Source organism: Homo sapiens, chromosome 8 (genome assembly GCF_000001405.40).
Source record: "Homo sapiens chromosome 8, GRCh38.p14 Primary Assembly".
Taxonomy (NCBI): domain Eukaryota; kingdom Metazoa; phylum Chordata; class Mammalia; order Primates; family Hominidae; genus Homo; species Homo sapiens.
Genome location: NC_000008.11, coordinates 39,655,097 through 39,682,992, shown reverse-complemented (window position 1 = coordinate 39,682,992; position 27,896 = coordinate 39,655,097). Strand labels below are relative to the sequence as shown.

The following is a 27,896-nucleotide window of genomic DNA, read 5'->3' as shown; positions in this document are numbered from 1 at the left end:
TGTGTATTATAAAGGGAGTGAACAGAAGAAGATAAGATATTGGAGGGTATTTTAAAAGCTGAGTAGCACAGTTTATCTTCTAATGTTACATATCTTTTACACATAAAAACCACATTAATTGTCAAGCTCTCCAACATTCTCATTTCATTATAGCATCAGTTCAAAGCCTATTTCTTCATCTGAGTTAGCTCCAGCTGTGGATTAGGTTCATGGGTATACTTCCTTGAGTATAGCTCTTCCATTTGTAGATCTTTGACACTAGAGAGTAATCTGGCCCCAAGCCCATCAATATATAATGGTAATAAAGGCATAGAATAACTTATAGATATTTTAATTCAAAGTGTGTGTGGGGGGGGATTAGAACTAAAAAGAAATTACTGGTCCATAGCAATTCTGAAATATCTAGAAGGGCTCATGTTGGGAGTTCCTTGTTTGGGTTTCAAGGTCTGTGAAAAATCTCTCTTGGCTCTCAGTTCTGCCTTCTCAGTTCTTATTTGACTCTCTAAGTATTCCTTCCTTTTTCAGGAAAGGTAGCACATATTTGACTTTGAGCAATTATCTCAGCCTGCCTCCTCTCAGTAGAATTTTGGGGGTCCGATAGCCTCCTTTCATTTTGTATTCTCTTTACTGGCGGTTTCTCAAAAACTGTGAACCTCCCGTGAATCTCTTTGGCATTTATTACATTAAACAAAAGACATGCTCACAAATATCTTTGAAATGAACCGTTTTCTACCTTAGGCTTCTGCTGAGATGGCTGAAAGACAAAGCTCTGAAGTTTCCAGATGCCTTATTTTTTTAAATGTAGAGGATCTGTGAGGCAGCCTTTCTTTCTTTAAAGGACTTTTGTCTAACTGAATAACACTCTGAGCCTTTTACTGTAGAACATTAGTTAAGAGTTGATCTTGACTAATCTTTTGTTACTCTTAACTAATGTTTTACAGTCTCACTCTTGACCATGTTTTCCTGATAGTTCTTGGAATCCATTTCTTTGTTTTAGCATCTTTTGCTGTCTGGAGAAGTTAAGAATTTTCAAAATCATCAATGGTTATGTTTTATTTAACAGTTCCTTCAATTTCTTTCATTTCTTATTATATTATAAGCTGCTAGAAGGGGTCAGAAGCTAGATCACCAAGTTTATTATGTACACATTCTACTTTCCACGTACTGTAGAAGACAATATGCTAAGCTTTCTGCCACTAAATAAAAAGAACCTTACTTCCTCCAGTTTTCAATAATATACTCCTAACTACCACTTGAGCCCTCACCAGCCAGGTCCTCAAAGTGCAGAGTTGGACTTAAGGTCTGTTTCAGGCAATATGAGCTTTCTGTATCTTGGTCTTCAACATTCTTCTGGTCTCTACCCACTTCCTGGTTCTATATTCATACCCAATTTTTAAGGTATTTGTTACAGCAGCACCATATGTCCAGGTATCAAATCTGCATCAGTTTTCTGTTGCTGCATAACAAATTATCATCAAAATTAATGACATTAAACAACACGTATTTATTATATCACAACTTCTGTGAGTCTGAAATTCAAGCACATCTTATCTGGGTTCTCTGCTTCACAGTCTTCTTACAAGCTGAAATCAAGGTGTTATCTGTTATCTGGGACTGTAGTCTCACCTGTTGGTCCGACTTGCAAAGCTCTTCATAGCTTGCTTGTGTGGTTTTGGCAGAATTCAGTCCCTCACAGGCTGTTGAACTGAGGGCCTCAGATTTTCACTGTCCCACAATTGCTTTCCTTGTAGGATTTTCCCTGAAGGCAGCTTGCTTCAGCAAAGCAAGCAATCTGAGAAGGCAAGGGAGAGAGTCCATGCAAAACAGAAGTCACTGTCTTTTCTCATCTTCTTTCTTGTCTCTAGCCTCTAATCTTGTGACATTCCAAAACTTTTGCCCTATTTTATTTGTTAAAAGCAAGTCATTAGATGCAGTCCACAGGCAAAGGAAGGGATTACACAAAGGAATGAATGACAGAAAGTGGGATCACTGAGAGTCATTTCAGGAGCAGATTACCACATAGAGGTTTCTCAAGGGATTAGGGTTGCTGACACCAGATATAACAATTGACTAACACATCCTCCATTTCTAGGTTTTGTTTTATTTTTACGCATCAAATAAGCACCAAATGACATTTAAGTGCAACACTCTATAATTGCTATGTGAAATTTCAGATGCCACATATTATCATGTTTTCTGGAACATGTGCCCTTATATTGCAAGATTAACCAAGTCTCTAAAGCCTTTTTGTTCTCTTTTTATGTTATGACTACATAGATAGAAGTGTTCATATATATTCATGCATGTATATACGCATGAGCCTGTATATGCACTATAGCAATGTTTCCTAGTATAGATTCTTGTTTGGTTCCAAACCTTTTGTACACTTATATTTTGATCAGATACAAATCAAATAATTTAAGAAATATGTAAAGTCAATTAATGTTCTTTGTGAAGCAAGGAAAATGGAAAACTTTGTATTAGCATTTTACAATTTAAAGCTACCAGATGTCAGTTAGTAAAATCTTGTGCTTAAAATATATATGTACTTTTTTTAACATAAGGACTGATAATATTTTAATCCAAAAAGCAATGTAATTGGATAACTTAGGCTTGTTTTAATTATCATTTAAATATCACATGGGAAATAAATGCCAGCACAAGTTTAAATCCATTCAATATAATTGTGATAGTCATCATGGAATGCAGTATCTGATAATTCACATAATTTAACACAGCTGAATATAAATTATCACATTTTGTTACCATTTCTGGACCACACATGGTGCCATCAGCCACATAGGCATTGTCTGTTCCATCTGATCTCATGGAGGAACCAGTGGCTATAGATACACATACATGGTCTTGAATATATGAATAAACTGTAGATTGAGCGTCACTTTTATTAGCATTTTTATGTGGCTGAACACAAGCTAATTTTCCACAGAGAACATCCCTGGAAGTGGAAAGCAAAAAGTTCCTTATCAGTTTATCTCTTAATGATAACAAGTTCCAAGTGAGTACTGCATAATGGTAACATACTGTTAATTGATAGTATAACAACTGAAAAATGCCAAACTGAAACATTATTTTATGGTGCACAACAACTAAATGCAACTGTCTTAATAGCAGAATTGAAATGTATATGCTTAACTCAGCGTGAAGACACGACTTCATTCCCATTATAGAGCCCAATTTTGTTCTCTAAGTTCTAGTTGTCTTAGACCGTTCATATTTTACCGCACTCTGGGAGAATTAGTCACTTGCCCCACTTTGATATAGCTTGGCCAGCCTGGTCACTTATTAAACAAAATTTGCTGAGAGTGGCTAATTGCATTTCTCTTTCTGCACATTTTATTGTGCCTATCATTCCTGTCATGATACCTAGAAAGTACATTTCTGCAGTATACACAACCTTCATTTTGATCCACAATTTCTCCCAGCATACAGATATTTCCAGTATATTTAACTTATCTGTTAAAAATTTAAGAACTTTTAGATCCCCTCTATGCCACAAACATACCAAAGGTTATCTTATCCCATGGATGCTGTATTTTGCCATTTGTAATCTATCATTGGGTAAAATACTGGCTTCTCTATGAGGCTAAGAGTATTTCTAGACTATGCTCTGAAAGATAATCTATGTCACTTTTTGTACTTGAAATTATTGAAATCTAATTATCAAAGTTCATCCTCAATGAGAATAATCATTTTTAGCCATTGATCTGTCTCTATTGAACATGTCATTATTATTTCATCAAAAGGCTCCTCTTAGGGAATTTTACCCATTTGTCCTAAAAGAATCATTTGAGGCTTTTTCAGAAGAATAAGCTTAATTACACCAAGAAGTAAAGATTGAAATGAGATTAAGAGCCAGAACCTAAATTACATTTCACTTTTGTCTTCCCTCCAGCATAACTTTTCTACTTTCCCAGGTCTTGATATTTCTTTTGATTTTGGTTCCACTCTCTTTCTATAGAATATATTCTAAACCAGACTTGCATGGTATGTATGTATCCTTCCAGTCTGGCTACTGAGTACAAATTCTTCCTCCAAGTCCATTTTCCCAAAATTTGCATTTATGGTTAAATTCTTAGAACTATTTTTTCTTTTTTGAAAAGGAATCACAGTCTGTTTAGATCAGACGATGTATGCTACTCAATTTTAGTTTCATCTAATGATGTTATTTCAGGAAAATTCATGTACTATTATCACATAAGACAAAGTCCAATGGAGTCATGTTTGCTAACTTTCACAATTTCTTCCAGGTTTCTTTTATCTTTTTTTCATGAATAATCTTAAATTAAAGGCAGCAGATGTGCCTCTGGACATCAGGAAGAAGATTAAGTGGGGTTGTCATGCCACCATCTTCTGTCTTTGTTGGGATCCACTGTGGTGTAACTCAGACTGCTGGCCCCTGGTGCTCTGTATTAATATCCAATAGGTGTGGCTGATTATGCCGGGTCTCCTCCTGAGATCCCCACTCATCAGTACTTTCTTTGTGATTCCACCTTTCTTCTTTCCATGTACTAATCCTCCTGTGTTGGGGCAAGTGGGAAGTTCTGCATCCTCTCCACAGCATACATAATCCATGGTAATTTCACATATGGAGGAGGGTGATGGAGGATACTACTTTAGTCCCACCCAACTGGATACCTTCTTCATCCATTTCTCATCTTAATAAAGGAACTGTATTGCTTTGAACAATACTGATAGTGGTGCTTACCTGAGGATTTTATGGTTTTTCCTGGCTATAAGTCTTTGAGACTAAATGTCTGCTTCTTCCTGAATTAATTATATCTAAATTTTTTATGTTATTCCCTTTCTCTTATTTTGTGAATCTGGCTCTGTTACACATTTTTGTGGCTCTTTAATTTTCAATGAAATTAAGGAAGATAAAATTAAGGAAGCATTCATTACAGGGTAGGCACTTCCTTTATTAAAGTATTGGATTTCATTAATCCCTTTATTACATGGATTATAGTAACACTATGTCCCAATAGTCTGAATTTAGTTATTAATAGATACTTCCATGCTTTACATATTGATGTTTTGGACACAATTAGCAAAAACAAAAATAGCTTTCTTCTTCTCAACAATTCTATGTCTTAAAAATCAAAGCTTGAGGTTTGCTTTAAGATTGTTGCTATTTATAGACTTAATACAAAACTTCATTTGAATTCTCAATACAGAGTAGCAGTTCTGATTTCTGGCAGTGTGTGTCCATTTTCTTCTTCTGTTACTAAGTATTAGCCTTTTTTTGTCCAATCTCATTTTTAGGATGATATCAAGGGAAAATAATAGAAAATCCTGAATTTCATAGAAAAAATATATGCATTGGTATTTGAAAATATTCCCATGTTATAAAATTTTAGTGTTCATTACTACTTAGTGTCTCTTGATAAAAATACATAATTTTTATGATTCAAAGAAGCAATCATTTTCTACATACGTACTTCCGTTCACAAGGTAATGGTTGTGAATTTTTAAAACCACAGTTTTCAGATCTTTCATGCAGAGAATTAACTTCTTTAAAACAGGCAAATGGAGCACCTTGAGCACCTTAAAATGCAAACATGTCAGTTGAATTATCATTCTTAATATGAGTTAAATGTTTGTCAGTAACAGACTAAGGAAATTTAATTTCAAAAAGATCATGTACTTGTTGATCATGCTTTTGTTTCTATGCATACCCTGTCAATGCAAGTAGAAAGAAATAATTGTCTTATCTTACACACACAGAAAATGATTATATCTATTGCAATAAGTTATATTATTTTTAAAACAATATGTTTCTCTTTCTGGTGGGAGCAAATACTTCTTAATCTAATGAATATTGGGCTTGACCTTGTAACTTCCTCTTCTTAATGAAATGAGGAATTTGAAGCATGTCACTTATGGACAGAAACCTCTGGAACTTATATAGTTTTCCAGAGTCTACCTCCTGTCCTTTGTAGCACATGTGTTTATTTGGTCCTTCCAGCATGCTGGCTATACTTTGCTTATTTTGTCTGACTAGTATAAAATCACTGATGGATTGGACCAATGTTACATTTTATGGGAAGTCCAAATCTCTTCTACTATATTATGATGGAGGGAAACAGAGTAAACTTAACCCTGGAGAAAAATTCTAAATGAATCCTGTTATCCACTCTATGTGAATGTAAACTGTTTCTAATCTTCTTTTCAAATAGGAATAGAAAATAATACACTTGCCAAAATGGCCGAATAGGAACAACTCCAGTCTGCAGCTCCCAGTGTGATCGATGCAGAAGATGGGTGATTTCTGCATTTCCAACTGAGGTACCTGGTTCATCTCACTGGGACTGGTTGGACAGTGGGTACAGCCCATGGAAGGCGAGCTGAAGCAGGGCGGGGCGTTGCCCCTGCCCAAGAAGAGCAAGGAGTCGAGGGATTTCCCTTTCCTAGCCAAGGGATGCTGTGACAGACTACCTGGAAAAATGGGGCACTCCTACCCAAATATTGCACTTTTCCCAAGGTCTTAGAATCGGCAGACAAGATGATTCTCTCCTGTGCCTGGCTCGACAGTTCCCATGCCCACAGAGCCTTGCTCACTGCTAGCGCAGCAGTCTGAGATCAATCTGCAAGGTGGCAGCCTGGCTGGGGGAGGGGTATCAGCCATTGCTGAGGCTTGAGTAGGTAAACAAAGTGTCCAGGAAGCCCAAACTTGGCAGAGTCCACTGCAGCTCAACAAAGCCTACTGCCTCTAGACTCCACCTCTGTGGGCAGAGCATAGCTGAACAAAAGACAGCAGACAACTTCTGCAGACTTAAACATCCCTGTCTGACAGCTCTGAAGAGAGCAGTGGTTCTCCCAGCATGACATTTGAGCTCTGAGAAGGGACAGACTGCCTCCTCAAGTGGATCCCTGATCCCCATGTAGCCTAACTGGGAGACACCTCCCAGAAGGGGCCAACAGACACTTCATATAGGCGGCTGCCCCTCTGGGATGACCCTTCCAGAGGGAGGATCAGGCAGCAATATTTGCTGTTCTGCAATATTTGCTGTTCTGCAGCCTCCACTGGTGATACCCAGGGAAACAGGGTCTGGAGTGGACCTCCCACAAATTCCAACAGACCTGCAGCTGAGGGACCTGACCATTAGAAGGAAAACTAACAAACAGAAAGAAATAGCATCAATGTCAACAAAAAGGTCATCTACACCAAAATCCCATCTGTAGGTCACCAACATCAAAGACCAAAGGTAGACAAAACCACAAAGGTGGGAAGAAACCAGAGCAGAAAAGCTGAAAATTCTAAAAATCAGAGTGCCTCTTCTCCTCCAAAGGATCACAGCTCCTCGCCAGCAACGGAACAAAGCTGGACGGAGAATGACTTTGATGAGTTGACAGAAGTAAGCTTCAGAAGGTTGGTAATAACAAACTTCTCCGAGCTAAAGGAGGATGTTAAAACCCATCACAAGGAAGCTAAAAACCTTGAAAAAAGATTAGATGAATGGCTAACTAGAATAAACAGTGTAGAGAGGACCTTAAATGACCTGATGGAGCTGAAAACCATGGCACGAGAACTTCGTGAGGCATGCACAAACATCAATAGCCGATTCTATTAAGTGGAAGAAAGGGTATCAATGATTGAAGATCAAATTGATGAAATAAAGCAAGAAAACAAGGTTAGAGAAAAAAGAGTAAAAAGAAACGAACAAAGCCTCCAAGAAATATGGGACTATGTGAAAAGACCAAATCTACATTTGATTGGTGTGCCTGAAAGTGATGGGGAGAATGGAACCAAGTTGGAAAACACTCTTCAGCATATTAGGCAGGAGAACTTCCCCAACCTAACAAGACAGGCCAACATTCAAATTCAGAAATACAGAGAACACCACAAAGATACTCCTTGAGAAGAGCAACCCCAAGACACATAATTATCAGATTCACCAAAGTTGAAATGAAAGGGAAAATGTTAAGGGCAGCCAGAGAGAAAGTTCAGGTTACCTACAAAGGGAAGCCCATCAGACTAACAGTGGATCTCTCGGCAGAAACCCTACAAGCCAGAAGAGAGTGGGGGCAAATATTCAACATTCTTAAAGAAAAGAATTTTCAACCCAGAATTTCATATCCAGCCGAACTAAGCTTCATAAGTGAAGGAGAAATAAAATCCTTTACAGACAAGCAAATGCTGAGAGATTTTGTCTCCACCAGGCCTGCCTTACAGGAGCTCCTGAAGGAAGCACTAAACACAGAAAGAAAGAACTGGTACTAGCCACTACAAAAACAGGCCAAATTGTAAAGACCATCGATGTAGAGAAGAAACTGCATCAATTAATGGGAAAAATAACCAGTGAACATCATAATGAAAGGATCAAATTCACACATAACAATATTAACCTTAAATGTAAATGGGCTAAATGCCCCCAGTTAAAAGACACAGACTGGCAAATTGGATAAAGAGTCAAGACCCATCAGCATGCTGTATTCAGGAGACTCATCTCACATGCAAAGACACACATAGGCTCAAAATAAAGGGATGGGGGACGATCTACCAAGCAAATGGAAAGCAAAAAAAAGCAGGGGTTGCAATCCTAGTATCTGATAAAACAAACTTTAAACCAAGATCAAAAGAGACAAAGAAGGCCATTACATAATGGTAAAGGGATCAATTCAACAAGAAGAACTAACTATCTTAAATATATACATGCACCCAATACAGGAGCACCCAGATTCATAAACCAAGTCCTTAGAGACCTACAAAGAGACTTAGACTCCCACACAATAATAATGGGAAACTTTAACACCCCCCTGTCAATATTAGACAGATCAACGAGACAGAAGGTTAACAAGAATATCCAGGACCTGAACTCAGCTCTGCAACAAGCAGGACTAATAGACATCTACAGAACTCTCCACCCCAAATCAACAGAATATATATTCTTCTCAGCACCACATCTCACTTATTCTAAAATTGACCACAAAATTGGAAGTAAAGCACTCCTCAGCAAATGTAAATGAACAGAAATCACAACGAACTGTCTCTCAGACCACAGTGCAATCAAACTAGAACTCAAGATTAAGAAACTCTCTCAAAACCGCACAACTACATGGAAACTGAACAATTTGCTCCTGAATGACTACTGGGTAAATAACAAAATGAAGGCAGAAATAAAGATGTTCTTTGAAACCAATGAGAACAAAGATAAAACGTACCAGAATTTCTGGGATACATTTAAAGCAGTGTGTAGAGGGAAATTTATAGCACTAAATGCCCACAAGAGAAAGCAGGAAAGATCTAAAATCGACACCTTAACATCACAATTAAAAGAACTAGAGAAGCAAGAGTAAACAAATTCAAAAGCTAGCAAAAGGCAAGAAACAACTAAGATCAGAGCAGAACTGAAAGAGACAGAGAAACCATCATTCTCAGCCAACTATCACAAGGACAGAAAACCAGACACTGCATGTTCTCACTCATAGGTGGGAATTGAACAATGAGATAACTTGGACACAGGGCGGGGAACGTCACATGCTGGGGCTTGTTGGGGGGTGGGGTGTGGGGAGAGGGATAGCATTAGGAGAAATACCTATGTAAATGATGAGTTGATGGGTGCAGCAAACCAACATGGCACATGTATATCTATGTATCAAACCTGCACGTTGTGCACATGTACCCTAGAACTTAAAGTACAATAAATAATAATAATAATAATACACTTGCCAAATCAGGGGTTACACTTCTCACACATATTTGAGGCCATGCTAATCTGCTCTAGCATGGACATACCCTGGCGCAGTGAATGCAATCAAGTCTACTACCTGATTACATTTGTAGTAGTTAAATATTATCTTCCAGGATCATCTTGTTTCTGCAGGGATCATATTGAATAATTAAATGTGTGTAATATATAGCCAACCACCCCTGCATCCTTTAGATCTTTAAAAGTAGCACTAATTTCTTGAAACAGGCGGTTACAGACATCAAACACATTAAAGCCCCACTGAGGGAATTGCACAAACTATTAAATATGCCAACTCCAATTATATACACTAGGTCTGAGAAATAACAACCAAATGGATTTATGGAACTAGCAGACCCACTGTAAACTGAAACTTGGCCAGGACTCTATTTAACTCCTGGTGTCTCTAAGTCCTCACTCTCACAGGGAGACCATGATCACATTGGGCTTCTGGATATTAATGTCAATGCAGTCTGTGTCCACTAGTTTTTAAAATGTTTGGATATTTTCTTTTCCCCAGTGAACAGATACGTGATTAAATGGTTGTAAGTCCATATGGGAACATATGAGAGGAACAGTTAACAAGGTGTTATGGGGATTTTCTTCTATGGCCCTTGCTCCCACTTAAGTCAATGAGTTCTGGCTCTGAAAATTGGTTTAGATTCAGAGTGTGGACCTAACATTGCGATATTTACTGAGACAACTCTCCACAGTCTCCTGGTCATCTATTTTTATACATTTCCTTTAATGAAACAAATTGAGTAGTACCCTCATTGGCTGCTCACAGAACACAGGGAAATCGTATTATATTAACTCTCTCCCTGACACTTGGTAGGGAAGGTACCCATGTCTGCTACTGCATATCTACTGCTTATAACAACATTATTCATCTGGCTTCTGGTAGGTAAGCACTGCTATCTGGTCTTGATTTTTCCAGATCTTATCATATCCATTGCTACCGGTGAGTGTAGTGGCATTCCCACTCTGACCTGCAGAGGAAGCCATCTTTGAAATTTATGGTGAATATGGTATCCCTTTCTCTAGCACATTCCTTATGGCCTTGGGCTTTCCTGTTTGGCCAAATCATTTGGCCTTAAATACACAGTACATAGATTACAGTATTCCCACTTCCCTGAGCCTTTTTCTTCTTTTTTCCACTATCTGCTATGGCAATTCTGTCATTTAAATTTCACTTAGGGCGAGTAATCTTTTTTTTTCCATGCTGCTGGAAGCCATCCTAGTAGAAAGATTTTACTGTCTTCTAGGATCCATGCCAGTATGTTAAATGCTGTACTTTAGGAGAGTGTTTCCAAAACAATAAATACCCCCCATCCCATGTTGTGTTCCTCTATTCTATCTCATGATCAGGTTCTCAGAACTCAGTCCCTTGTGTACTTCCCTGATGCCAGCAGTAACTGCTGGCTAGGACCAAATCTTTTTTGGAGTATAGTTTCCTTACTGCTTTATAAAGTCCATCACATCCCTGTCTCTATTATTCTGTGCCTTTTCTCTATTTTCAGCTAGTGGCCACGAAGGATAGCGAGAAGATACTGATGAGAATACACTTCGTGTTATGAAGAGGGACGGGGGAGGAATCAGATCTAAGCCATTCTATAGGTTCAATAGACTCAAAGAAGCCTGGAGCCTCAAAATTAGGGTAGTCATATTTTCAATTGTCTCCATCCCAAGGGTAGGTCCCATTCTTCTCCCAATTGGAACCCCAAACCTGAAAAATATACCTGATAAGGAATTCAAACTTATATAGAGTTTAACTTCTCAATTAAGTCTTCCTCATCTCTCTCTAACCTCTTTTTTAAAAGATGAGGGGCTCTTTATAAGTTAGCAGAGGCCCTCTAGACTCACGCTTTGCTTTCAAATGCATGCCCTTTTGTTATATTTTCCTAAGTTCAATGGTATTTGGCAATAGCCATTTAATGCCATTACCCTTAAAGTTACTATTTGCCCCATTAATTTCAATTGTACCAGCTAATGTATTCTCTCTTACAAGTATACTATCCCAATCTGCTGAGAGAGTATATTATCAACTTCCACCAGTGATGAGGTGCTCACTGATAGCCTGGCAGAGAGTGATTTGGATTTGAAAACTCATCTTTCAGTCTGTATTTACTCACTCCACTCTCATTACCAACTGTTAGTAGTTGGGACATCTAGGAGCTGACATCTAATTGAGGCATACGATGAAGGCTATTTATTAAAGATCAGAATATTTGGAAATGGGAAGGAAGCTGGATGGAGCAGAGGAGAATTCAAACTGGGATGCAAATCCAACAAGTTCTTGAACAGACTAATAGGTAGCTGTGTGGTATAAATAACCTGCCAGTGTGTGTTTGATTGGGCCAAAAGAGGCAGACTTTTGTATAAAACCCCCACCTCACGTAATCATTGCATGTGTGCTGGCTTGAGAAGTGTGTGCCTTTGGGCAAAAGCTCTCTTTGCAGTTGAGGCAAATTCTGGAAGAGCTGATAGCTGAAGACTACTTGATGACAGATGGCGGTATTTTCCTTATTCACTACCTTGATTTTCTTTTAGCATTCTATTTTTATTGTTTTAAATGCAAAGAACACAGCTATAGGTTTTATATTTCTTTTGTTTTACTGTCTTTTTCTCTTAGTCATTAAGCTCCATGAGTACAATAATCATATGGCAATGTCCATCTGGTTGAATATTGCAGGCTCTTTGCATTTAGACACTCGATGTATAATTTTGATTAAGCAAATCTACTTATATTTCAACATTTCTTTAAAAGTTTAAATTTACTTAATAAAAGAATGCAAACTTAATGTAACTACTTGTTAGTTAACATGTCCCATATAATATACCACCTGTGGTTTTTGGTAACAGAAGAAAAATGCCTGCAAGTAAAAAGCTAAGTAAATGAATCAAGGAGAAAATGGGAAATGAATGAATTAGGGGATGAACAAAACACTGCATCAGAGGATGAAATTTTTGATGCATTCATACTAGTTTTTTGGAGATCCTAGAACATATATTATAGGAATATACATTTTGCTAAACATTCTGTTGCAATCAGAACTCATCTGACAAAGGGCTAATATCCAGAATCTACAATGAACTCAAACAAATTTACAAGAAAAAAACAAACAACCCCATCAAAAAGTGGGTGAAGGATATGAACAGACATTTCTCAAAAGAAGACATTTATGCAGCCAAAAAACACATGAAAAAATGCTCATCATCACTGGCCATCAGAGAAATGCAAATCAAACCCACAATGAGATACCATCTCACACCAGTTAGAATGGCGATCATTAAAAAGTCAGGAAAAAACAGGTGCTGGAGAGGATGTGGAGAAATAGGAACACTTTTACACTGTTGGTGGGACTGTAAACTAGTTCAACCATTGTGGAAGTCAGTGTGGTGATTCCTCAGGGATCTAGAACTAGAAATACCATTTGACACAGCCATCCCATTACTGGGTATATACCCAAAGGATTATAAATCATGCTGCTATAAAGACACATGCACACGCATGTTTATAGTGGCACTATTCACAATAGCAAAGACTTGGAACCAACCTAAATGTCCAACAATGATGGACTGGATTAAGAAAATGTGGCACATATACACCATGGAATACTATGCAGCCATAAAAAATGATGAGTTCATGTCCTTTGTAGGGACACGGATGAAACTGGAAACCATCATTCTCAGCAAACTATGGCAAGGACAAAAAACCAAACACCACATGTTCTCACTCATAGGTGGAAATTGAACAATGAGAACACATGGACACAGGAAGGGGAACATCACACACTGGGGACTGTTGTGGGGTGGGGGGAGGGGGGAGGGATAGCATTAGGAGATATACCTAATGCTAAATGACGAGTTACTGGGTGCAGCACACCAACATGGCACATGTATACATATATAACAAACCTGCATGTTGTGCACATGTACCCTAAAACTTAAAGTATAATAATAATAAAATTTAAAAAAAAGAGTATAATAATAATAAAATTTAAAAAAAACAAAAAAGAACTCAAAAAAGATGTCATGTGTCAAGTAAATGAATTCTAGGTTGAAGTTTTTTTTAATTAAAAAATAAAAGAATATATTGTAGACGCTACTTAATGAACCTTACAGAAAGTATTATTTAATTTTACCTTTAAGAGATATTTTAAACCCTGCTTAAAAATAACAATACTATTCAAACAGAAATAAGTATTAAAAAAACAAAACACACACACATAAAAAGTAGCATTCTAGAAAAATAGCACACAGAAAATAGAACTGACTTGTGATTTAAGAAATCATAGTTCTGCAGCTTTTGTTGAATTTCGTTTAAGCCTCCTAATCTGAAATTTATTACTCAAATAATTAGGAAGACAAGATGGACCATATACAATGTAATTTGGTACAAATTATATTCCTGAGCTTACCACTGGGCAAATAAACCACCTTTACTCAACTAGAAAATAATTATATATATATGCATTTCACTGGGTAATTTTGATCTGTTTCTATTATTTTAATTTCTCTAAAAATACAAAATTATATTTGGATATTATGAATAATTGCTCACCAGAAAAGCAAGAATATATGCACAAGTCTTATTAAAATTACTCTCAAAGCTGTTTGAAAAACAAAACATAAAAATGAATTTTGATCAGGTGGCTTAAGACCACCATTATCTTAGCAGTTATTCCTCAGTTAGGAAATATGATTATTTTTAAATGAAATTCACTCTGAGCCTTGTAAGTTTCATGCCATTAAAATTAAATCATGAATGTGGGTAGTAATAGGAAATTATATAAATTTTAGAATCTACTGATTTTAATGTTTATATAAATGATGAGCTGTAAATATGGATTTTTGCCCAGCTAGCTAATCATCAAAAACAAAAATCAAACCACAATAAAAATAATGTATGGTCTTTTTCTTGGAAAACCTCAGATACTCTTAAAAAACTACTCTTCTTTAACTAAAATTTAATTTTTATTAATCTTGTGGTTCAGTTTCTTCCACTTCTAGAGTTGTGTGGTACATAATGTACTCTACAGAGAGATGCAAATGTAAGGTAAAATAAATACGAAAGAAAGAGCAATACCTTTTCCAAATATCTTGGCACACTGGTTATCAGTAGTTTGACATTGTCCGTTATAGCAATAGGCAGTTCCCAACTTGCACAAACGGCCATTCAATGCATAAGTGTCAGGAACACAATTACTAGAGGTTCCATTGCAGTACTCTGTAAAATCACACTCTGGATCAATACTCTTTCTACATGGAGTGCCTGCTATTGACAACTGGGAGGAAAAGGAAAAATAAAATTAAGTTCTGTAAATCATTTTTCTCAATTGCTTAGTGAAAAGATTTATCACATAAAATGTTTCTAATTATTGATATTTGAGGGAACACCAGAGTTCCCAAGTCCGTGAGTTTGCCAAAAAAAATCAAATACAGTATTCATTGTGAAGCCCAGAGAAAACTGTCTCAAAGACGTGAAAGAATTCCTTTTGACAGTGAGTTTGCAGCTGCTCACCTCCTTTGTGCTCTACATTTTGAAATAAGCTGACTCAAACAGCATTAGATTAAACATACCTGTTCCTTGGAACTATAGGAACACTGTCTCTACCTTTTTGTTCTTGGAGAAACTCAGGAGCCAGACTTCCTGGTTTCAGTCCCAGTCTCTCACTCTTACTACCTTATTTGTATGGGTGAGAAACACAATCTATCTGTTTTACTTTTGTAAGCTTGGAATAAAAGACAAATTCTCATAGAGTTCTTATTAGTATTGAACAGGAGTAATGGAAAAAGTTCTTAGAACAATACATAGTAAGCAGTGCAGTGTGCATATATGATAGCTATCATCATATCAGCATCTTTTTTTTTTTTTTTTTTTGAGATGGAGTTTTGCTCTTTTGCTCAGGCTGGAGTGAAGTGGCATGATCTCAGTTCACTTCAACTGCCATCCCCCAGGTTCAAGCAATTCTCCTGCCTCAGCCTCCCGAGTAGCTAGGATTATAGGTACATGCCACCACGCCTGGCTAATTTTTGTATTTTTAGTAAAGACAGGGTTTCACCATGTTAGTCAGGCTGGTCTCAAACTCCTGACCTCAGGTGATCCACCCACCTTGGCCTCCCAAAGTGCTGGGATTACAGGCATGAGCCACCGCGCCAAGTCTTGAGCCACCACACCTGGCCTCATTTTTATATGTTTATTATTATCTAAGAGCATAAACGCCTCCTTGCATCACTTAGGTGAGGTGTACAGTTATTGCCAAAATTTTGTGGTGGCCTGACCTAATAGATTGCCATCCATAGTGAAGTTCACCATGTTGAAATGCTGTCCTGCTATATATGTTGATGTCACACACATGCACACAAACACACACACAAACACACACACAAAATACAATCCAGTTTGATGAAATTAATACTTCATACGGTTTGGCTGTGTCCCCACCCAAATCTAATCTTGAATTGTAGCTCCCATAATTCCCACATGTGATGGGAGGCACCCGGTGGGAGATAATTCAATCAGGGGGCAGGTCTTTCCTGTGCTATTCTCATGATAGTGAATAGGTCTCACAAGATCTGATGGTTTTATAAAAAGCAGTTTCCCTGCACAAGCTCTCTTCTCTTGTCTGCCGCCATGTGAGATGTGCCTTTCACCTTCCACCATGATTGTGAGGCCTTCCCAGCCATGAGGAGCTGCGAGTCCATTAAACTTCTTTCTTTTGTAAATTTCCCAGTCTCAGGTGTGCCTTTATCAGCAGCATGAAAACCAACTAATACAATATTCAATAATGAAACAAAGATGCATAATAAATAAAAGAAATGGTAACTTAAAAGTGATGAAATTTAAAAACAACTTTTTCAACTTAGAATTCCATACCCTGTAACTATATATTTCAAAAAAGGATGAGACACAAAGACTTTCCTAGACAAAAAATAACTGAGTAGCCAGGCGTGGTGGCTAACATCTGTAATCCCAGCATTTTGGGAGGCCTAGGGGGATAGATTGCTTGAGCTCAGAAGTTCAAGGACAGCCTGGGAAACATGGTGGAATACCCCATCTCTACAAAAAATACAAAAATTAGCTGGGCATGGTGGTGTGTGCCTGTAGTCCTAGCTACTTGGGAGGCTGAGGTGGAAGGATGGCTTCAGCCCAGGAGGTGGAGGTTGCAGCTAGCAGAGATAGTGCCACTGCACTCCAGTCTGGGCAGCAGAGCCAGACCCTGTCTCAAACAAACAAACAAAAAAAACTGAGATAATTTATTTTCAGAGGACATAAATGACAAGAAATAGTAAAGGGAGGTCTTCAGGTACAAGAAATATGATAGTAAACAGAAATCTGCAAAAGAAAATAGACCTCTGAAATGAAACAAATGATGTTAATTCATTTAATTTTTTTTCTTCTTTTATTTACTCTAAAAGATAAAAGACTATACAGCAAAAATAGTAAAAACATATTTTGTTTTTATGGTATATGATCATGTTCTATTATAAGAATTATTCACTACACATGAAATGAAATATGAAATTAGCCTGATTAATTAATGATTCATAAAGCAATGGTTAATCAGTAATTTATAATCAATAATTTGTATGGATCAATGATTTAAATGATTTTTAAAAGGTACAAATAACAAATCAGTAGCAAAGATAACACAAAACCATATATTTTATAGTTTTAGTGTTTACATTCAATTTACAAAGCAACCGTAAGTCTCATAAGTGTCTGGTGGGAACTCAAGATAGTACAGTTGCTTTGAAAGACTGTTTTTCAATTTCCTATAAAGTTCCATATTTACCATATGATCCAGCAATCCCTCTCCTAGGTATCTAGCTAAGTGAAATGAAACACTATGTTCATGCACAAATATGCTTATGAATATTAAAGTAGCCATATTTTCATCACCAAAAATGGAAAACAGCCAAAATATCCCTCAACTGGGGAATGGATGAATGAACTGTGGTACATCCTTACAATCCTTGCAATACTACTAATATGCAGTCACTATAAAGGAATGATCTGCTAATAAACATAAGAACATGAATGTATCTCAAATACATTATGTTAAGATGCCTGCTTCACATTTGCACATATTGTATGATTCAATTTATGTGATAATTTTGCAAAAGCATAATTACAGCTTCAGAAAACAGATCAGTGGTTACCAGGGGCTGCGGGTGGAGTCATGGACTGAGTATAAAGAGGCACAGGGAAATGTGAGAGAGGAGTGATGACATCACCTATCCTTTTTATGATGCTAGTTATAAGCTTAAATATGTTTCTTCTGACACTTGGGAATATTCACTAACAGAATTTTAGTATATTAAATTATACATTAATAGCTAAATTCAACAAAAAAAATACATAGAATATTTACATAGAGGTGATTTACCAGAATTGGAATAATAAAATATCTTGCTACTAAGGAACTTGTTTTCTTATCCAAATGTGTGTCTTGGACATAATACTATATTACTGCATTAATATTTAGTCCATATTTACTAACTCTTGTACAATATATAATTATGTAATCATTCCAATATCAATAAATACTGTTCATTTCAATTGTATGTGTATGATTTGCATTTCAGTTATCAATGAGAGTTCTTTACACATTCTATATGCTGCATATTTTGTCTGCTATTCATGCTACAATTTTTTCCATAATCATTCATCATTTATTTGACTTTATAATTTATTTGAGAGTTAATAACTTTTTGGATGTAGTAATGTGTGTTTTTTCTCCCTTTTATCTGATAATTTAGAAGATGGTAAACTTTGTGATTTTAACACTAAAGAATAGAATCATCACTCAGAATCCATGGGCATTTGGTTCCAGGAACCCTCAGGCATATTAAATCTATGGGCACTCAAGTCCTTTACATAATATCTTGTAACATTTGTATATAACTTACACACATCTTCTCATATATTTTTATTATCTCTGTATTACTTATATTACCTAATACAATATAAATGCTATGTAAATAGTTATACTGTATTGTTTAGGGAATAAAGACAAAAATAAAAATAAACTCTGGCATATCTTTACAATATTTGCAATACTATTCAGCAACAAAAAGGAATTATTTGCTAATAGACACAACAGGAATAAATCTCACATGCATCATGCTAATGCACCTAATTCATGTTTGCACGTATTAAGTGGTTCAGTATGTGGAGCCCATGCATATAGTAACTGCAACCGTACCTGTCTGAGATGACTTTTATATTTTATAGCAATTTTCCTTTAAACTTGTGTTTGTTCATGCACTCTACATTTTATTTCACTAAATTCCTTATATATTCTTTTTATTAATTGCACATTGATTCAGTTAATACAGACGTCTCTTACCACAGTTCAATTTGCTTTTAATGAATGTTAGTAACTTACCTCACACTTTGATGTACAACATGGTCCAGAACCACATTTTACTGAGCCCTTCAGTTTACATGTGTTATAATCACAGCACTTCTTAAATTGACATTCCTAAAATTTTACAGGAAGAAATATTATTACAGTTTAACCACTTAAAAGCTCTTGTTTCTTAATCTCAATTTCAATTTAATATTCTGTTGTGTACAAACTTGTAGTTATACAATATAATTGTATAATTCCAATGAAGCTGTATTAGTTTACCATTTCTTTTCTTCTTCTTTTTTTTTTTTTTTTTTTTTTTTTTTTTGAGACAGGATTTCACTCTGTCACCCAGGCTGGAATGCAGTGGTGTGATCATGACACACTGCAGCCTCAACCAGTGAGATCCAAGTGATCCTCCCACCCCAGCCTCCTGAGTAGCTGGGACCAGAGGTGTAAGCAATCATGCCCAGATATTTTTTTTCTTTTTTTTTTTTTTTTGTAAAGACTAGGTGTCACTATCTTGCCCAGGCTGGTCTCAAACTCCTTAGTTCAAATGATCCTCCTGCCTCAGCCTCACAAAGTGCTAGGATTACAGGAGTTAGCCACCATGCCAGACCCTATTTTACTATTTCTAGAATAGCCACAGGTACATGCAAGTGTAAGAACTGCAGAAATAACATCTAAAATAGCAGTTGGTCAGCAATATTCATCAGCTAAAATATTTCATAATTAACTCGTAAGTTACCAACACCAAAACATATCCTTGGGGGAATGAAAAGGTGGTTTTTAGGAGAAACAAACTTTTCTCAAGGGTCTCATGGGTGATTTGTTTACTAAGGATTCCAATTGTAAATAAAGTTAGAGTGAGGCAGTAAGTAGAATAAAAATGTACTTAGTATATATTTATGTACCATGTTTTACTATAATAGAAATCAACAAAAAAAGACTATACCTATTATTTTTAAAAAGTAAATGGCAGTCAATTATTATTCAAATAGGGGCTGGGTGCAGTGGCTCACGCCTGTAATCCCAGCACTTTGGGAGGCCAAGGTGGGCAGATCACTTGAGGTCAGGAGTTCAAGACCAGCCTGGCCAACATGGTGAAACCCCACCTTTACTAAAAATACAAAAATTAGCCAGGCGTGGTGGTGTGTGCCTGTAATCCCAGCTACTCAGGACGCTGAGGCAAGAGACTCGCTTAAACCTGGGAGGCAGAGGTTGCAGTGAGCCAAGGTCATGCCACTGCACTCCAGCCTGGGTGACAGAGTGAGACTACATCTCAAATAAATAAACAAATAAATTAGGTAATAACTTTAAAGAATCTTAAAAAACAAATATTATTTGTATGTAAATAACACTGCATTTACACCATATTTTTATATTCTTAACTCTTTTATTAAACAATTTTATTTACTCAGAGATCTAGTTTCAAAGATCTTGTCCTTTAATATAAAGGCAGGATTCTTCTTAATTTTGAAATTTCCATTTGTTCACACTTTTTCATATGTATGCATGTAAATGGACGTATGCTTATACAATCAAATAATATATAAAATATAGAGCAGAAGTTGAAATTGTAATTACATACTCCAGATTCTCTAGGGGTAATCACATTGTATAATTTACTGTTTAACCTTCCAAAGTTAAATAATGCTGTATAAATGTATGTGTGTGTATATATTCTTTCACTAGTAATTAATGAAGACGCTCTCCCTGTACCACAATACTTAGCAGTACTAATTATGACCAATCATTTTAATTTGTAACAAGGAATGGAAAAACTGATCTCAAAGCTCTCATTATTACTTCTCTGATTACCAGTGAGTTTGTGCATAAATTTGCATTTGTGCAATTTTATTTATGAATTAAATAATCATATATTTTGACCATTTTGCATAGCAGAGCTTTTTTCTTTCCCTGTTCCTATTAGATAACAGAAACAGATTTTATATGATATCTGGTTGCCTTTATATATATATAAAATATATATATATAAAATAAGCCTAATTTGTAACACTACGGATATGTTCTAGGTAGTCTTTGTCGAAAGGGCATTGACACCTGTATCTTCATAAATATCCTCCATTTTTCACAAATGGAAGCTCTGTTTTGTACCCACTCACCCATACAAATGTGGCTGCATGCACCTTATTTGTACCTGTGTTCACATGTATCACTGCTAATAAATATTTGAACAAATATTTCACAGCATATAGAGGGATACATTTTACAAAAAGTAAAGCTATAAGCCTTAAAATTAGCAATAAAATATAAGAATAAAGTACTGATACTGTTTTATAGTCTTGGCATGGTGGAGGTCTTGATAATCAATACATAAAACCCAATAGTCCTAAAGGAACAAGAATATTACAAATTACTCAAATTGATAGGCACCATTAACAGACCAATTAGAGACTGCAAAGAAACATTATAAAAATATAGAAAAGAGAGGCTGGGAATGGTGGCTCACGCCTGTAATCTCAGCACTTTGGGAGGCTGAGGAAGGCGGATCACGAGGTCAGGAGATAGAGACCATCCTGGCTAACACGGTGAAACCCCAACTCTACCAAAAATACAAAAAAAAAAAAAAAAAAAAAAAAAAAATTTGCCGGGTGTGGTGGTGGGCGCCTGTAGTCCCAGCTACTTGGGAGGCTGAGGCAGGAGAATGGCGTGAACCCAGGAGGCGGAGCCTGCAGTGAGCCGATATCGCACCACTGCACTCCAGCCTGGGCGACAAACCGAGACTCCCTCAAAAAAAAAAAAAAAAAAGAAGAAGAAGAAACAGTTGTTTTTTGGTTTTTTTTTTATTTGAGTATGGTCATATAGGCATCCTGATCATGTACTTAAATGATCAATCACAGTAACCAAAATTCTAGAATCCCAAAAGGAAGCAGGTATCTACCATAAATTAAATTGTTCAACATCACAGTCTGGGAAAGCAAACCAACATTATCACCTATGGAACATTTAAAACTTCAACTTCTCAGACCTGAACTGAAGGCCAACCTTAGAAGCAGGTCTTTCTAAAGATGGCAACTTCAGGGCTGGTACGTTAACTCTGTTTCTGCACAATATTGCATTAATATTGCACAGATTATAAATGTTTGCATTTGCTATTATTGATTAGAATTACTACTTTTTAATGCTTATTTTATATTTTCCTAATTACAGGACTGGAATGTTCATATTATTCTTTTAAAACAGCTTTTCCAGTACTTTCTTGTTAATTTTCTGTCTGGTTGATATGTCCATTGTTGAAAGTGGAGTATTAAAATCCTCTCCTATTATACTGTATTGCCATCTATTTCTCCTTTAATGTCTGTTAATATTTACCTTATATACTTAGGTACTTCAGTATTGGATGCATTTATAATTGTTATGTATTCTTGATGAATTATACCATTTTCATTAAGTATTTTGTTGTTTCTTGTGACTGTTTTCCACTTGAAGTCTACTTTATCTGTTATTAATATAGCTGTCCCTGTTCTTTTTCGGTTACTATGTGCATGAAATATAGTCTTGCATTCCTTTACTTTCAGCCTATGTGGGTCCTTAAAGCTAAAGCTAGGCTCCTGGATGTAGCATATAATTTAATCTTTTTAAAAAATCCATTCAGCCACTCTGTGTCTTCTGATTCAATAATCGAATCCATTTATAGTCAAAGTAACTATTTATAGGCAAGAATTGACTACTGCCATTTTTTTAGTTGTTATTTGGTTGTTTTGTAGATCTTTTGTTCTTTTCTTCTTCTCTTGTTGTTTATCCTTGTGATTTGGTGATTTTCTTTTGTGTTAAGTTTTACTTCCTTTCTCATTTGTGCACCTGCCATAGTTTTTTGCGTTGTGGTTATCATAAGGCTTACATAAAATATCTTATAGTTAAAATAAATTATTGTATACTGATAAAAACTTCAGTCACATACAAAAACTCAAGACTTCACCTCTCCCCCCAGTTTAAATGTCTTTAAAAATAAAGCATTTCTTTTTCTTTGCAGATGGATTGTCAGGGACAATGTGTTTTAGGTTAATATCCAGCTTTATTATGTTGTGGGAATACACGTTTATTTTCAGATTTTTTGGTATCTATAATTATTTTCAGCATGATCTAATGCATGACTGATTTTTAAAATAACCCATGGAATTTTGAAAATTATGTGTATTCTTTTTTTGATTATGAAGTTCCCTTGCTATTAGATATGCTTTTTAGTGACTGTTGTTAATTACTGATAATTTATTAGTTGTTTGATAGCCTGAAAGAGGTATATTAAAGCCTTATGAACTATGGATACGTGCATGGTCCATGTATTTTGTTTTATATATTTCAGGGTGCATATTCTATGGATGGATATGTGCATATTCCACGTATTTTGTTTTACATATTTCAGAGACATCTCATTGATTATATTAAGTTCACTATCTTGCCCATCTTCTTAGTTTTTACATTTTTAGTAATTGCTATTGCTTATATACTGTTCAATGTTTATAATTTGGTTTTCTTTCATAATATATCACACACATACTTGCTTTTTTGTGTATTTGCTTGTTTTTTTTTTAAATTATTCATTCCAGTACTAGGGGATCCTTAGAAAATATGTTTGAAAATTAAGATTTCGTAGGTAATTTTCCATGTAAAAATCCAATCAATTATTTTAGCTATCAAACAACTAATCAATTATCAGATAATGTATAACAACAGTCACTAAAAAGCATAATCTAATAGCAAGGGAACTTTATAATGAAAAAAGAATATATGTAATTTTCAAAATTCCATGGGTTATTTTAAAAATCAGTCATGCATTCATGCATTATAATTGTCTCAAATTTCCCTGAAGGCATTCTATATTAAGACTTAGACATTCTCATTCCCCAAAACTATTTTAAATGTTTTCTAGCAAGAGATCAAGTTGGAAATGTGAAGTGTTCTTTACATTTATTATTCATCTTGTTCTCAATTTTGAAAAATATATTATTTTAAAATGTTGATTAGAGAATATAGGAAGTACTCCTCTCCACAACTCAAATAAGAAAAGTTGTAATAGCACATCTGCCCTCCAACATTCAGGTTATAATGAAGAGGGGCATGTACGGTACTCTCCAGAAGCATTATTCCATTTTCAACCCTCCCTAATGCAGTGTTATTTTTACTTAGATTTCTGGGAAAGAAATCTCAGCAGTGGTAAACTAAGAAACCAGCGTAAACAACCTACTTATTACTTAGTGTAACTGTGTTTTTTTCCTCTTACTGCTGTAACCTTTAACAGGTTACCACAAACTTAGCGGTTTAAAACCATGCAAACATACGATCTAAACTTCTGTAGTGTAGAAGTCCAATGAGCTAAAAATCAAGGTGTTGGTGGGCTTGCGTTCTTTTCTGGAAGCTTTCTGGTAGAATCTATTTTCCTGCCTTTTTCAGCTCATAGAAGGCCACTCAAATTCCTCGGCTCATGTTTTTTTCCTCTATCTTTAAAGCCAGTAAAGGGAAGTCAAATTCTTGTCATAGCACATCACTATCAGCTTTTCTTCTCCTTCTTCTTCTGCTTTAAAAAATCTGAGCAATTGGATGCATCTGAATAATGTGGTATATTGTCTCCATCACAAGGTCTTTAACTTAATCACACCTGCGAAGTTCCTTTTGCCATGTGAAATAGCATGCACACAGGTTCAAGGATGAGATGGGGGCAACTTTGAGAGGATGATATTCTGCCTACCACAATTATATTAATAAAACAATTTAAGGAATTTGCCATAGATTCTTTTAAGTTCTTTTTCTTTGATTTATAAATGTTTCATTTCACTCAGTTAATAAAAAGCAACAAATTATTAATTTGCATCAGCAGGAGTGCCATTGGTAATCTCAGCTCAAAGATTCCCGAAACAATTCCCTATGTGTTTTGATTACTGTAGATATGGAAATGTAGAGAGCATACAGCTGGATATTTTATAATACAATATAATTCTCATTTAATAGGAAAATATAACCTTTTAACAGTTATGTCTATTCCTGACATGTTATGTTCTTACTATGACATCATTATATTTTTAATATTTATGAGGTATCATAGGTTTTTTGTTTTGCTTTTCCTTTCTTCTCATTTTTAAGACTATAAAGGCTTTGTTCTTTCACGTCTTTTTCATTCAAAATACAATTTCCAATATATTACTTTTTAGATGTACTGTTTACCTTTAAAATGAACGTATCTAAAGTTATATGTTGAATACACTTCTAGAAGAGATTGACATTTCCCCAAAACAACATGAATAGTGTCATCAAGTCTTGAGATGTTCCCTTTAACCCCTTTTTAGTAACTAGGCCAGGCACTGTGGCTCACGTCTGTAATCCCAGCACTTTGGGAAGCCAAAGCGGGTGGATCACTTGAGGCCAGGAGTTCAAAACCAGCCTGGGCAACATAGCAAAATCTCATCTGTACCAAAAATAAAAGAAAAAACTAGCCAGGCATGGTGGTGGGCACCTGTAATCCTGGCTACTCGGGAGGCTGAGGCAGGAGAATCTCTTGAACCTGGGAGGCAGAGGTTAGAGTGAGCTGACATCAAGCCACTGCACTCCAGCCTGGATGATAAAAGCAAGGCTGTCTCAAAAAACAAAAACAAACAAACAAACAAAGACCTTTTTAGTGACTACTAACCAATAAAAGGAAATGTGATCTTGACTTTTAACAGTCTATAATAGTTTTATTTTTTTAACTTACTATAATTTTCTTGGCCTTGGTTATCTTGCTCAAAATAATGTTTATTGAATTCAACCACTTTGTTTTGTGCAGCATACTTTATTTTATGATTATAGCACAATTTGTTTTTCATTTTGCTGAAGAAGAATATTTGGGCTATTTCTCTGCTTTCTTTTCTTTGCTATTATGATATGAATGTTTTATGTTTTATATATACCTGAGACTGAAATTCTGGATCACATTTATGTATGTGTTCAACTTTACAATAAAATAGCACTTTTCACTTGTGCCAATTTTCACTACCAACAGTAGTGCCTAATAGCTACTTATCCTCACCAATTTTTTTCTTTTTCGCCATTCTGATGGTGTTTTGTTGTTTTCAAATTATGCTTTTGATCTGCATTTTGGGATGCTGAGCATCGATTCACAAATTTATTAGCGATTAGTAAATCCACTTTGAAAGTTTCTGTTTAAGAATTAGGTCAATTCTTTTCTCTGAAAGTCTGTCATTTTCTTATTGATTTATATGTATTCTTTATCTGAGTACATATCTCCTGTCACATTTATGTGGAGAAAACAATCTCCTATTGTATAATCTACCCTTTAAATCTCTTATCTGATATTTTATTTTATCAACATCTAATTTGTAAATATTAGGTAATATTGACATTTAGAGAAAATTATTAGACTACATATTCGCTTATGTTTTACACTTTGTTTTGTGTTTTTTTACCTTTACACATTTATCAACAATATATCTGAAATTAGGTTCTATATATAAACCAAATAGGTAAAGACTATTTCTTATGTATATTGAATTGTCCCAGCGTCATTTTTTGTAAAGGCATCCTTTCTACACTGCATTCCTCTGTCCTTTTTGTCACAAAACAGTAATGATATTTATGTAGGTCTATTCTAGATTCCATTCTGTTTCATTTGTCTGTGTCTGTCCAGGCACATATACCATACTGCCTTAATAACTATAATTTTATAATGAAAATAGATTTATGAAAATTTCAGTGGACCAAATTTGTTTTTTTTTTCAAGATCACCTTGGCTAGCTTTGTGCCTTTCATGTTTCCATTTAAACTTGAAAATCAGCTTGTCTATTTACATATACCAACACATATGCAAACACAATTCCTGCTAGCATATGAATTGGAATTGCACTTCGGGATGATGAATTTGGACAAAAAATTACATCTTAGCAATATTAATTCCTCTAATTTTAAAACATGACATATCCTTGCATTGATTAAGTAGTCCCATAATTTTTCTCCTAATGATTTGCAGTTTTATATTTAGTAGTCTTATACATGTTTTATTATATATATTCCTAAGTATTTCATGTTCCTGGGTATTATTGTAGATGCTGTTGTTTTAAATTTTTTTCTTCTAGTCATTTATAAAGAAATATTTGATTTTTATGAATTGACTATGTAACAAGTGACCTCGATAAATTCATTTATACGTGCAAATAATTTATTTCTAGATTATTTTGGGTTTTCATGCATACAATGATATGATTATAAATAATGAAATCTAAATTTCCTCTCTTCCAACTATTATGCATTTTCTTTTTGTTGCTTTGGTGGCTAGTTTATCACATTCAATAATAAGTGTGAAAGATGACAACAGATATCACTGCCTCATTTCTGACCTCAGTGAGAACAACTGTTATGCATGATGTTAACTGTAGATTTTACAGATACCCTTTCTTAAATATAGTGAGTTTCCCTCTTTTCCTTTTTTTCTCAAAATTTATTATCTATCCATTGAGATGATCACTTTTTTTACATTCTGTAAATAAACCACAATATCCCCAACAATAGAACATAATGTTACTGTTTATGTATATGTTGTATCATTATTTTCAATTTGTTAATCATTTAGTGAAGATTTTGTGTTCATGAGAAATATGGATATATCCAACAACATACACTGGGAAAAGAACAGTCTCTTTAATAAATGGCACTGGGAAAATGAAATATCTATATGCATGAGAATGAAACTAGATCTCCATCTTTCACCATTTACAAAAATTAACTAAAAGTGAGTTAAAGACTTAAATGTAATACCTGAAAATATGAAACTACCAGAAGAACACATTGTGGAAACACTACGGGAAATTGGGCTAAGTTT

General features: G+C 35.4%; 1 protein-coding gene across 3 annotated transcripts in view; it reads right to left on the bottom strand.

Moving 5' to 3' along the window:
* Nucleotides 1–27,896, bottom strand: part of ADAM18 (ADAM metallopeptidase domain 18) — a 145,498-nt gene that overhangs the window by 47,073 nt on the left and 70,529 nt on the right. For all 3 annotated transcript variants that reach the window (NR_135201.2, NM_014237.3, NM_001320313.2), the window contains 4 exons: nt 19,103–19,198; nt 14,797–14,995; nt 5,457–5,562; nt 2,767–2,956 (listed from right to left, as the gene is read on the bottom strand). Coding sequence is in view for 2 of the 3 variants with exons in the window: in NM_014237.3 (NP_055052.1) it covers nt 2,767–2,956; nt 5,457–5,562; nt 14,797–14,995; nt 19,103–19,198 (591 nt within the window). In the remaining variant the exon portion in view is untranslated. The remainder of the gene's footprint in view (nt 1–2,766; nt 2,957–5,456; nt 5,563–14,796; nt 14,996–19,102; nt 19,199–27,896) is intronic.